The sequence below is a fragment of the Homo sapiens genome, chromosome 12 (genome assembly GCF_000001405.40).
Source record: "Homo sapiens chromosome 12, GRCh38.p14 Primary Assembly".
NCBI classification, from domain to species: Eukaryota; Metazoa; Chordata; class Mammalia; order Primates; family Hominidae; genus Homo; species Homo sapiens.
Window position 1 is genome coordinate 22,468,810 of NC_000012.12, and position 12,214 is coordinate 22,481,023.

The 12,214-nt window shown below is 33.5% G+C and overlaps 1 protein-coding gene across 35 annotated transcripts in view; it reads right to left on the reverse strand.

Annotated features, from left to right (window-relative positions):
• C2CD5 (C2 calcium dependent domain containing 5) overlaps positions 1-12,214 on the reverse strand; it is a 95,960-nt gene that overhangs the window by 20,227 nt on the left and 63,519 nt on the right. For all 35 annotated transcript variants that reach the window (NR_169598.1, NM_001385330.1, NM_001385329.1 and 32 more), the window contains 8 exons: positions 9,504-9,668; positions 5,942-6,082; positions 3,935-3,998; positions 3,477-3,538; positions 3,158-3,256; positions 2,590-2,679; positions 2,015-2,102; positions 900-986 (listed from right to left, as the gene is read on the reverse strand). Coding sequence is in view for 34 of the 35 variants with exons in the window: in NM_001385330.1 (NP_001372259.1) it covers positions 900-986; positions 2,015-2,102; positions 2,590-2,679; positions 3,158-3,256; positions 3,477-3,538; positions 3,935-3,998; positions 5,942-6,082; positions 9,504-9,668 (796 nt within the window). In the remaining variant the exon portion in view is untranslated. The remainder of the gene's footprint in view (positions 1-899; positions 987-2,014; positions 2,103-2,589; positions 2,680-3,157; positions 3,257-3,476; positions 3,539-3,934; positions 3,999-5,941; positions 6,083-9,503; positions 9,669-12,214) is intronic.

The following is a 12,214-nucleotide window of genomic DNA, read 5'->3' on the forward strand; positions in this document are numbered from 1 at the left end:
TAAAGATTCTATTGACATATATGTAAAGTGAATATAAAACTATTCTGTATTATACATAATTTGGTATCAAATAACAAGTAGGAATCATAAAATAATATCCATTGTATTATAAGACATAAAAGTTGAATAGCTCATTTCAAATAACTATCATTTCTCAAAATAAATTTAGTGAAAAACACATACTACATTTATCTAATACATAATGCTACAAAATAAGGCATAGTAATTTTAAATTTTTTTGTAATAAAAATCATACTAAAATCAGATGAGAAATGGAAAACAATACCTCCCACTTTTCCCCAAAGATTATGCAGATCAAAATAGATTTATTGCTATTAAATTAAGGAGCTATCAATTTGCACTGGAAAAAAAACATGGCAGTGTCTTATATAAGTACATAACAATGTTCTTCAATTATTGCCACAGCAAAGACAGGAAGCTCATCGCTTTCTCACTTGTACTACTCCCACTCAAAACCTCTTCATGTATCTTCTGGAAAAAAAAAAGCATTCTGTTGTGCATGAAAATCCAAAACTTTTTGTGAAGGTTTAATTGTTGCTGGAAAAAACTTACCAAATATAATATAAAATATCAAGTATTCTATGTGTGAATAGTTACAGTGGGAAATCCAAACCTTTGAAAATAAAGCTTTAATACATTAAGGTATGAGAATAGAATATCATAGGAAAAATTACCTTAATAACTTAGAATGAAATTACTTCAGAAATTAAAATAAAAGGAACATTAATTTCTCCCCTTTATGAATATGAAGAAACATATAATGAGGGAATGAAGGATAAATTTTCACCTCAAGGTTAGTAAGATTTCCTATAATGAAGAAGCAGTGAAAGGAACTAGAAACCAGGATTTGTGTTTGCTTTTTCCCTCACTTAACCAACCTTTAGCTGGTGGAAAAGGATGAGAAGGAAGTGAATCTGAACACAGTTCCAGTGGAAATTGTAAAAGTTCTTCATTATCTGTTGAGGCTAGAAAGGCAAGAAAATATCAGTTATTTAGTAATGATCTATTATTAATTTTTTAAAATTAAGAATCTGTGACAACATACATATACATATTCTCAGCTCCATCTCCCCACCCCAATTTATTCTGGTCATTTTCTCCTTGATTTCTCCCATGGAAACCATTCATCTGCATGATGCTGAGACTGGTGCTATCTTCCCTGGTATGACTCTTGTGAAGCTTTAAGAGATTAATATCTGTAACTCACTTAGCACAGTGCTTTGCAAATAATAAATGCTAGACAATAATTAATATCCTATACTTTGTCCATTACTAGCTTTTGTGATACTTAAACCGGTTACATGTCTTCTTTGATAAATATCTGAACACATAATCATTTAATACATCTACCTGACATTAACTCACTGCTCAAATCTTATCAATGCTATACATGTAGAATGTAATCAACTTTTAAAAGTTTAGGACTAATCAGGAATATTTCATTTAGCCAGTAAATCATTCAAACTATACAAGAAAGTATAGTATCCCCCATTATGTGTTTTTCAGAACACACAGTTTCCAATAATTTGGATTTCTTCAGAATATATATTAAGACTACTTCCTAAATTTTACTGGATTAAGGCCACCTTTGTGAATCTGTTGAACACTATGGAACTTGTCCTGAAAATAATACACAGGCACACAATTGTGCTTACTACATCAGTAGGTCCTCAGATGCCTTGAAGACCTTGCCAGAGATCTTAGTATAGAAACCCTTATATTACTGCAGAATTAATAGGCTATAATTTAAGTCTAAAAAACCAGCAGCATTCTCTATGTAAACATCAGTCAAATACCACCCAGTCGCGTGTGAAAAATATCAAGTCAGCCATACGCTTATCCACACAGTTATCTTCATAAAGATGAACAGAAAAAGCAGCAAATATTCTTCAAGAAATAAGTAATTTATTGAATCCACCTGTCCTGTATATTTTATCACTGAACCATAACACAGACAAACACAAACTGAACTTCCTATTCAGTAAAGATTTACCTCTTTGCAATGACTTTTCAACAGGGGTTTTTGTGGTTTGTAAAGCCTGATTTTTGTCAAAAGTGATTGCGACTGCCGTGACTGTAACCTAGAATTATAAAAACAATAATGGTTAGCAAAATAATCACTGCCAAAACTAAGTTTCTTACATATTTTTTTCAGTACCACGGAACAACCTACACCAAATACCTTTTCTGGTTAAAATCCTCAACCAGAATTATGTATAAATTCAAATCATACACAAACTACAACTATACCAAACAGTTATACCTAAATCTAGATATTCCAGAAAGAGCTCAAGAACCTTCTCTAAAAAATGGGAACTGGTGAAATCCCACATGATGGGTACAGATCCTACTGTATACATGCTGAAGCATACGTGTGCTTACCCCCTCAGATAACTAAAGTTCAGAAAAAGAAACACACATGGCCTAATGCATACTAACATATATTTTTTAATATTGTGAGGTAAACTAGTATATGTTTATTTAATTACGGCAAAATTATGATAAACAGATAATGAAAATAATAAAACAGATCAGATAAAGACTAATAATGGACTAAATCTTAATTACCTGAATTAATTCATCTTCAGGCAGAGATACTGTAAAATTTACATGGCAAAGGCAGCAGGGGATCATAGATCGTAGTTTAAAGTACAGGCTCTACACAATAGAAAATATTAGTAATGTCACTTTTTTATTTAAAAATTTTTAAAAGCTGATTTTTTTAATGTACATTATATTATAGCAAATGGAGAGTTAAAAATAAAACAAAACTGGTCCACTTTTGTTTTGTGTATTTTTACACTAACGATATACTTTTTAATATTTAAGTAGACAATAAGATTTAATCGTCAATAAGTCACAAAAAATAATATAGTAAGTTTTTTTAAATATACACATATACACTAGATTTTTATGGAAGTTAAAGCTATTAACTAAAACTATTTCTTTTATAATTTGATATAGTAAGGGGGAGAGGACAACTTTAGTATCTCACCCGCTGATAGAGGTAAGGTAAGTAGGTAAGAATGATTCAGCCCACAACTGTGTAAGGTATTACAGACAATACAGCAATATAGACACTTAAAATTTCATTATTATAGACGCATGAAATAAAATTTAGTCAGAAGGTTCCTACCTTGAGCAAATTTTCACAGAGATCATTAAAGTTCTTATTGAGAGCTTGATTAGTCAGGTTGAGGCTGCTTAATCTGATTACTCTTACTGAAGTGAACATCTAAATGTGGGGTGACATAACATGTCATTTTATTATTTTTAACTAAATATTTTAACAGTTGATAAATTGCCAAATAATGAACAATACTAACTAATGTAGTAGAATAAGGATGGTATTTTAATTGCAATAAGGAGGTAAAAAAAAAAAGACAAATATTTAAATGGAACTTACTAAAATAACTTATGTGTTATGTGCTTAAAATTAAGAAAAAAAGGTTTACCTGTATTTCAGAGGTCCAATTATTTATACCGGGCATAATTTCTGTATTACAACTATAAAAGCCTGTCAAAATAAATTGTAATCAAAATATATGATAATATTTCATTGATTTTTGTGTTAAATGACATTTTTCAATTATTATATGAAGTTCTAACTATAACACCCTTCATTTTTTTTCTTCTAAAACTATACCTGCAGGAGACTTTAAACCATCCTAATAAATTATCACAGGTTTTTTTTTCCGTGTATAAATATAAAAGGACTAAAAATCACTTCCACCTAAGTTCTAACATAAGTATTTTTAAGGTATGTTTTCTACCTTGGAGTAGCAAAGTACATGACAAGCTGTGACACTGTGATAAGTCCTTCTTTTAAAGTAAAATTAGTACTGTAACAATTATGAGCTAAAACATTTATATGTAAAACTAGTTTCATCTCAAAGATAACTTTTTTGTTCACCTGAAGGAGGAGGAACATCAGTAAGTAGAGAATGGACATCTTCCATGGCATCTGTGTCATCAATCTTAAAATAGAGATTAAAACTATTTTATAAGTAGTAAATGCATAATTATTTCACGTTTTAAAAGAACTATTAATAGAGTCAAGAAAAGGCAGAGTCATTTTTCCTAAGTAAAAATATGTAACAAGAAAAAAATTCTAATATCAGTAAATTTCTCCACAGTAATAACCACAAATACTTCCAAGTGAAATATTTTACGTACAAAGTACACTAAGTTAAAAAAGAAAACTAGCTCTTTCTCAAGCCTTTATGAGAATATGTTTCTAAAGACAAAGACATCATAAGCAATCATTATTCTAATTTGTTTAAATTAATAAAGTGTAATGAGATCCTTTCACTAAATGCAGAACTCCTTTACAATGGAATTAGGTACAGATAAATTTAAAGACATATCTAATAATAGGTCTAAACTCTATTTTTTTAATAAAATAAATAGGTCTAAATTCTATTCTTCTTACATCACCATATTCCACTGTGAATAATAAATAGGGAAACTATCCAGCTGGACAGGCGCTGACATTCATCTGCACCTCAGTTTCTAAGTCCTAACCTGCAGACTCGCTAAGCTTCTTCCCACATCACCCTCAGGACTTCAAGAACCACTTTCACTTCCACTTCACGTGGCTACCCACAGTCACAGCCATACCTCAACCCATTATTCCCCAAAACGTTCCACACCCAGGATCTCGAGCATTCTCCAACTACAGTCCTGTCTCTTTGTCCTCTCTTACTGGATATTCCACTTGCCCTCTGTCCTCTGCCCATGTTTGAAGCACTTTGTTCTCATGTGCCTCTCTACTTAGCCAGGATCCCAAGATCAGACTTATCAATAATGCCCTAGATCAAACTTCAGGTAATGTTTGGCATCACCTGGAAAGTTTGTTAAACAGATTCCTGGGCTCCACCTTGAAATTCTCATCTACTAGGTCTGAGGTAGGGGCCCAAGAATTTGCATTTCTTACAAGCTCCCAGGTAGAGCTGACGCCACAAGTAGGCACATCACACTTTGAGTAGCATTGCTGTAAATAGTACCCTGGAACTTTTAACCTCCTTGACCTGAGATATTTTCCATGACATATTTTCCATTCTCAGACTGTAGAGAAATGTGGGGAAAAAGTGGGGGGCAAATAACCATATAAGTTGAGTTTTCTACAAACTGACACTCTCACCTTGGTTAGGCCTGTGCGTCTCTCATAGATCCTTGTTACAGCCACTGGCACCGTTCCTGACTCTTTAAACCTCCAATCCCATCCCAACACAATTCTACCACCAGCTTCCTGCTACACCAAGATCAAAGCATCTGATTTTTCTCTCTCTCAACTTACATCTTAATCATTTATTTTCCTTTCCTTCAATATGAAAAAGAAAAATCTATCTCTTTGGGAGCTAACCATTCTACAGGGGAGTGCAGAGGAAGCAGATCTGTGAGGAAGGAGTCTCCATAAACTTTTCATGTGACATTTACTCTCTGGGAAAGTTACTAAAGTGTTCTTAGTATCTTTTTATAAAGATGGATCAATTATACCTTTTGAATTCAGTAAGAAAATACTACACTCAGAATTCACAGTGATTATACTAAAAAATGTTATAACTACAGTAATATACAAAAAAGGTAATAATTATAGTAAGTTAAAGAATGGCACTTCATTTAAATTCATTCAAGTTTACAAAAATAACTTCAAAGGTTTAATACTATTCTATCATTATTTCAACCCATACATTAACTTTTTCAGAACCATCTGCATTATTGTATCAGTGACCTGGTATTGAACAAACATATGTTACCAAGTTCTGTTATTTTCAAGTTTGTTGTATTTTTATATAATAACTTTTTAAATATTTATAACAGTTGTAATGATATAAAAGTATCATATTAATTTAGCACGTGAAAAAATGTGTATCTTAGCTTCCAAAACCTTTAAGAAATTAGTCCAATGCCACATTACCTCCAAAACAAAAGCATCTTTTTTCCCATGTGAAAGGTCTAATTCTGTAACTTCATCCGAGCTTTCTGATTGAGATCTTAGAAGTCTTGAGCGTTGCCTAGGTTCTGGGATGGGTGATCCTATAATCTCTTCAGATATCTCCTAAAAGAAATATAATTGTTTTATATCATATGAGATTGTCTTTTCCAGTTTAAATTTTACATCTTTATATTAGTAGACACCTACCTGTGGAGAAAAAGCCTGTAAAATATACTCAGTGAAGTCCGTACTTAAGTATAACCTTTAAAACTAAACTTTTATAGCAGATATGGCAGCCTTAATGATACACGAATCAGAAAAATATATATAACTGTCACAGACATAACAAGATAAAACTGACATCTAGTGTACACACAGGACACTACAATGTGTATGGAATTGGCAGTCCTTACAGCTCTGAAATCCAGTACTGCTGTGTGTGCATATTTTCTATTCAGCATTATAAAAGTCCTAATAGGCCTTAAAAATTTAAAGACTTATGTTCCTAGAAAGAATTCTAATCTTTTATATATTTTCTTATCCACTTTCAAAGCTCCATATAGCAAAATGTGAAATATGATCAATGTATGAGTATGAATACATATATACTTATACTATGCACATATTTGCTATTCAATTTATTAAGCTAAATAAACATTGGTACTTACAATAATGATCTTTTTAAGGTCAGTGTATGGTGCAATACTGTATGGCTTAGTGAGCTTTTTGCTGTTACATAGCCAAAGATCACTAGGGGTTCTAAGTGTCTGTCGGCCACAAGGAATGCTGGAAGAATATGAATACGTGAACGCAAAAGCAAAAGCCATAGCCTATTGCTGATGCAACAGAATTGTCTTTTTAATAAACAAGGAAATTGTACATAAAATTTTTCAAAAATATATAGTTTTAAATGTTCATTGGTAGTATGCACCTTAGATAAAAGACTACCACTGCACAATTTCATAATGTAATGATCTATGGAGCACTTTCACATCAATTTATCTTATTTGTACTCCAAATTAATCTGCCCTCTATAAAGTTAACATTATAATAACTACAAAATGGAAAAGAGCTGTAATTCAGAAGTAAATTAGTAGTCTGCCTAAATTTGGAAAACTAGCAAGTGTAGAGCCAGTCTAGGTCAGTCTTTTGACACACAGTGCAACGTTATTCCCACTAGATACCACACTACTTTTTATAATTTTACAATAGTTTTAAATTCTGTTATGCCTTTGTTCACAATGCCACAGACTTAACAAATATAACTGTCTGGTATTTAATATGTTCTAGATTCATACTGAAATTTCATCACTAGTACTGTTATTCTGAGAGATGTGCATCTTATTTTGATACCTTTGATTATCTCCATAAAGCTTAAGTGGTACTACACCTTTGTATTAGAAACATTTTTTAATGTATTGACAAAAAATTTAAACAGCAGCATTTATTTCAGTGAGGGCTATCATCCTAAGAGAAGGAACACTCTGATCTACATATTCAGGGTGGACATAACACAACACTGTAATGTGTATAGTGGCCTGGTAATCAACCTTGTACACTGACTCTGTCAAAAAAAATGCTGAGAGATTATGCTAAAAGACTATAATGTAGTCAGTATCTACAATAAGGAAAGACATATTAGAAGATGCATAAACTGATGAGTACTGTTGTGAAAATACAGTCATCCTCAACACATGAAATTCATATATGTTAAAATTTTTAAAATCATAATAGATTTACTCCCTCCTTCCAAATGTAAACTGTATGACACATAGTAGCAGCTCAATAAGTACTGAATGGATGAAGTAACTTAATTCATAGTCTTATTTAAACACATCCCTGTCTCCAAAGGGCTTACATTATAGTAAAGGAAGACAGATATATAAAAACTAAGTACAATAATATGTAACAGTTTCTATACAAGTACATACAGGTACAACAAGTACACAATGGAGGAAGAGTCCATTCTTCCTGTTAGAGGTCAGGATGGATTTACAGAGGTGAGAAACACTATTAAGTAAGTAAAAAAGTTCAGCTCATATCATTAGAAATAATAAATGAAGAATATATGAAACCCTAACACAAAGCTTTACAAATCATTTTTCCCAAGTGGCATACTATAAACAGATGTTCAAATATCAAAATATAACTACCAAATAAAAATAATGTACTATAAAAATAAGCAGTCAGTAGAGTGGTGCACAGAGAACTTTTACAAAGTCTATTTTTCAAATATGAATATGTTAACACATCAACATTTGCATTCATTTTAAAGAAGCCCTAAGTCAGTATTGTTCAATAGAAATATAAAGCAAGCCACATACATAATAAAGTAAAAAGAAACAGATAAAATCCATTTTAATAAAACATTTTATTTCATTCAGTATATCCAAAATATTAAATTTTTGACACAAAATCAATACAAAAATATTCATATTTTACACTACTTTTTCACAGTAAATCTTTAAAATCCAGTGTATATTTTATACTTACTACACATTTCAATTCAGACTAGTCACAAGTCCTCAAAAGTCACATGTGGCCAGCGGCTACCACAGTGAATAATGAATAGTGCAGCTGTAGGTCATAACCTTAAAATTCCTCCCAAATTAACAACTATGCTAGAATAATATGATGAAAGCTATACATGTGACGCAACAATCCAGACACACTGTTCCAGAAGACCAGCCAAAATTAGATAAGACGTTTAAAATAATAAAAGCAATAATGTTATACTTTCTTTTTTTATTTTTTTAATTATACTTTAAGTTTTAGGGTACATGTGCACAATGTGCAGGTTTGTTACATATGTATACGTGTGAATGTTATACTTTCCTTTTGTGAAAGTCTTTCATTATCAGAGACTCATAAAAACAAATAGTTTCATTCTAATTCCAACCCATTTTTCTTTCAATTCAGACTCTTGCCATCAGTCATCCACAGAGGAGGCAGCATTGTGATACTTATTGCAAAGTTGGTAAAAAGACTGATTAAAGGAAATGACTGGGAGCAAATTTGTAAAAAAAGAAACTGTAACTGAAAAACTATATTCTTTCACATTTTTACCACCAATAAGAATCTCTTTTTACTAACAAAGAACATTTTAAACCATTTATTTCATCATTCAACAAATACTAAGAGACTACCACCAATAGGAACTTTTCTAGGCAATAGAAACAAAGCCCTCATGAAGCTTCATTCTACCAGTACTAACAGGCAAAAGACCAACAAAACACACACACTCACACACACACACACACTCACACACACACACACTCACAAAGATAAGAGCTATAGAAAACAATAAAAGAGGGAAAAGTCATAGGAAGTGGCAAAAATGAAGTCACAATTTTTAAATAGGATCGTTAGAGTAGGCTTACCCGAAAAGGAGACAGTTGAGCAAAGACATAAAGGGAGGTGAAAGAATGAGTAATAAGGAGAGCTAAACAGTGAAAAAAAAATCTTGTGTCCTCAATAAGATAACCTAAAAATATACTAATAAACAATAACTGATACATTCACAATGTAGGTTTGTTTTACTTACTGGAGGATTGATTTCATATAACTCTTTGTTTTTAGCAATTGTGTCATTTATCTTCTTCTGCATATGAGAGATGTGTTGTTCATATGAGCCATCATTAGGAGTCTTCCCAGCAATCTGAATACCACCAGGAGTTGGTAAAGCTGCTAAATACACACCTGTGGCAGACTTGTAAAAAATAATGGGGAAATAATCAGAAAAAATATCTACAGAATAACAGTCCTTAAGTTTTCATATTTAAGAATGTGGTCAACAGCTGGGTGCAGTGGCTCACACCTGTAATCCCAGTACTTTGGGAGGCCAAGGCGGGCAGATCACTTGAGGTCAGGAGTTTGAGACCAGCCTGGCCAACAAGGTGAAACCCCGTCTCTCCTAAAAATACAAAAATTAGCCAGGTGTAGTGGTGTGTGCCCATAATCCCTGCTACTCAGGAGGGTGAGGCAGGACAATCACTTGAACCCGGGAGGCAGAGGTTGCAGTGAGTCAGGATCATGCCTCTGCACTCCAGCCTGGGCAACAGAGCAAGACTCTGTCTCAAAAAAAAGAAAAAAAGGGAAAAAAAAACAAGAATGTGATCTTTGCTCATTAGGAAGAATATAATCAGCATCAGGGTATACATAGGACATCTCTGGAAAGGCACACAAAAACAACTGGTAATAAGCGTTGGTTTCTTTTGGGGAGGACCCTGGGTAGGTGGGAGACAGTTACGAAATGCGGATTTACTTTTCACTGCATACCCAATTATATTTTTTATGTTTCTACCTCACAATTTTTTTTTTTTTGAGACGAAGTCCCACGCTTTCACCCAGGCTGGAGTGTAGTGGCGTGATCTCGGCTCACTGCAACCTCCAACTCCTGGGTTCAAGCGATTCTTCTGCCTCAGCCTCCTGAGTAGCTAGGATTACAGGTGCCCACCACCACACTCAGCTAATTTTTGTATTTTTAGTAGAGATGGGTTTTCATCATGTTGGCCAGGCTGGTCTCCAACTCCTGACCTCAATTGATCCGCCTGCCTTGGCCTCCTAAAGTGCTGGGATTACGGGCCTGAGTCACTGGGCCCGGACCTACCTCATAATTTAAAAAAATATATAATTAGAATTAAAAATAGCAAAAAAAAAATTAAAGGTTGCTAAAAAATAAATTTTTCATGAATGAGCAGATGCTCTATCTTTAAAGGTGGCAAAAGTGAAGAGGAAACTTTTGCAAGGCAAGAGACTGAAATTCAGAAAGGACAGGGAACTTTCTCAAGCCAAGTCAATAAATGTGGACAAACGATCTGAACTGAGTGTTTCTCACTCTAAAACCCAAACGCATTTCACTATATTGCCCTACCTTCCTAATTAGCAGAGAAAAGTGTTTATTAGATACAGATTTATTTTAAATATCTAATTAAATTACTATTTAATATCTGACTCTGAAACAGTACTATATTTCATTAGTACTGGAAAACTATCATGGGAAATACAAAACAAGGTAACATTTATATATATCCTTATGAGCACTTATGTGTAAATATGCTAATATAAGCAAAGCAAAAAAAATAGAAGCATAAACATCAAATTGTTAACATCAAAGGAGTGGAATGGGAAACAGAAAAGAATTCTTTTAACTCTAGATATTTGTTATTATTATTTTTTAAATTAATCAACTGCCAATTTTGTGAACACCAATCCTAAAAAGGGATTGATGAAGAAATCTGCATAGTAGATAAAATTGTTCCTCAAGAGTGCTTACTCCTGGTTTGTTCATTAGTGTCCATCACTGTATACATGACCCAATCTCTAATATTCAACCAGGGAACCCCCTTCTCTATGCCATATGAAGCCTTAGTCCACCACCTCTAATGTGTTTTAGCTCCACTCATTAACGAAGCAACAGCCCTGAACAGCTGAGAACACAGACTCTGGCATCAGAGAGGCCTGATTTGAAATCCATTTCTAACACATGTAACCACATCACTTTACAGTCTCAACCTATCACAGCACACAGTTTCTCCTCCTGTAAAGTGAAGATAATATCACATTCCTTCTAGAATAGCACAGTGCCAGACACCTCGTCGGCACTCATCAGAGATCACCTAAGAAAGAAGCTACTCTTGAGAACTTAGGATTTAAGTGCACAAACTATAACAAAGCACAAAGATGAAATGTCAAACAGTGGTAGTTAACAGCACTAGTGATCAAGAAGGAAAGAAAAGATTAGTATGAATCAGAAAAGCAATATTTGAGGCAAGTCTTGAATTACATCAGTGTCATAAACTAGTTTCCTGGGGCTCAACCATCAAAAACGTTTGTTATAGCTAGCAAAATGTTTTTTAAACCCCTCAATTTGAATCCAGCTCTTAATTGACATGCATAGGCACCCACCAATCATTACAGTCTTGCATCAAGCACAAATTATACATTTATGTAATGTCCTCACTAGGCATACAAATTTTTAGACCACTGAATTAAAATAACCACTTTTCCCCAAGTTACTCTAAGTATAAAAGAAATTTTTTTTTTTTTTTTAAAGACAGGGTCTCTCGCTCTGTCAGCCAGGCTGGAGTGCAGTGGCACAATCACGGCTCACTGCAGCCTCAAGCTCCCAGGCTCAGCTGATTCTCCCATCTCAGCCTCCCAAGTTGCTGGGACTACAGGCACAAGCAGCCACGCCTGGGTAATTTTTGTATTTTTAGTAGAGATGGGGTTTCGCCCTGTTGCCCAGACTGGTCT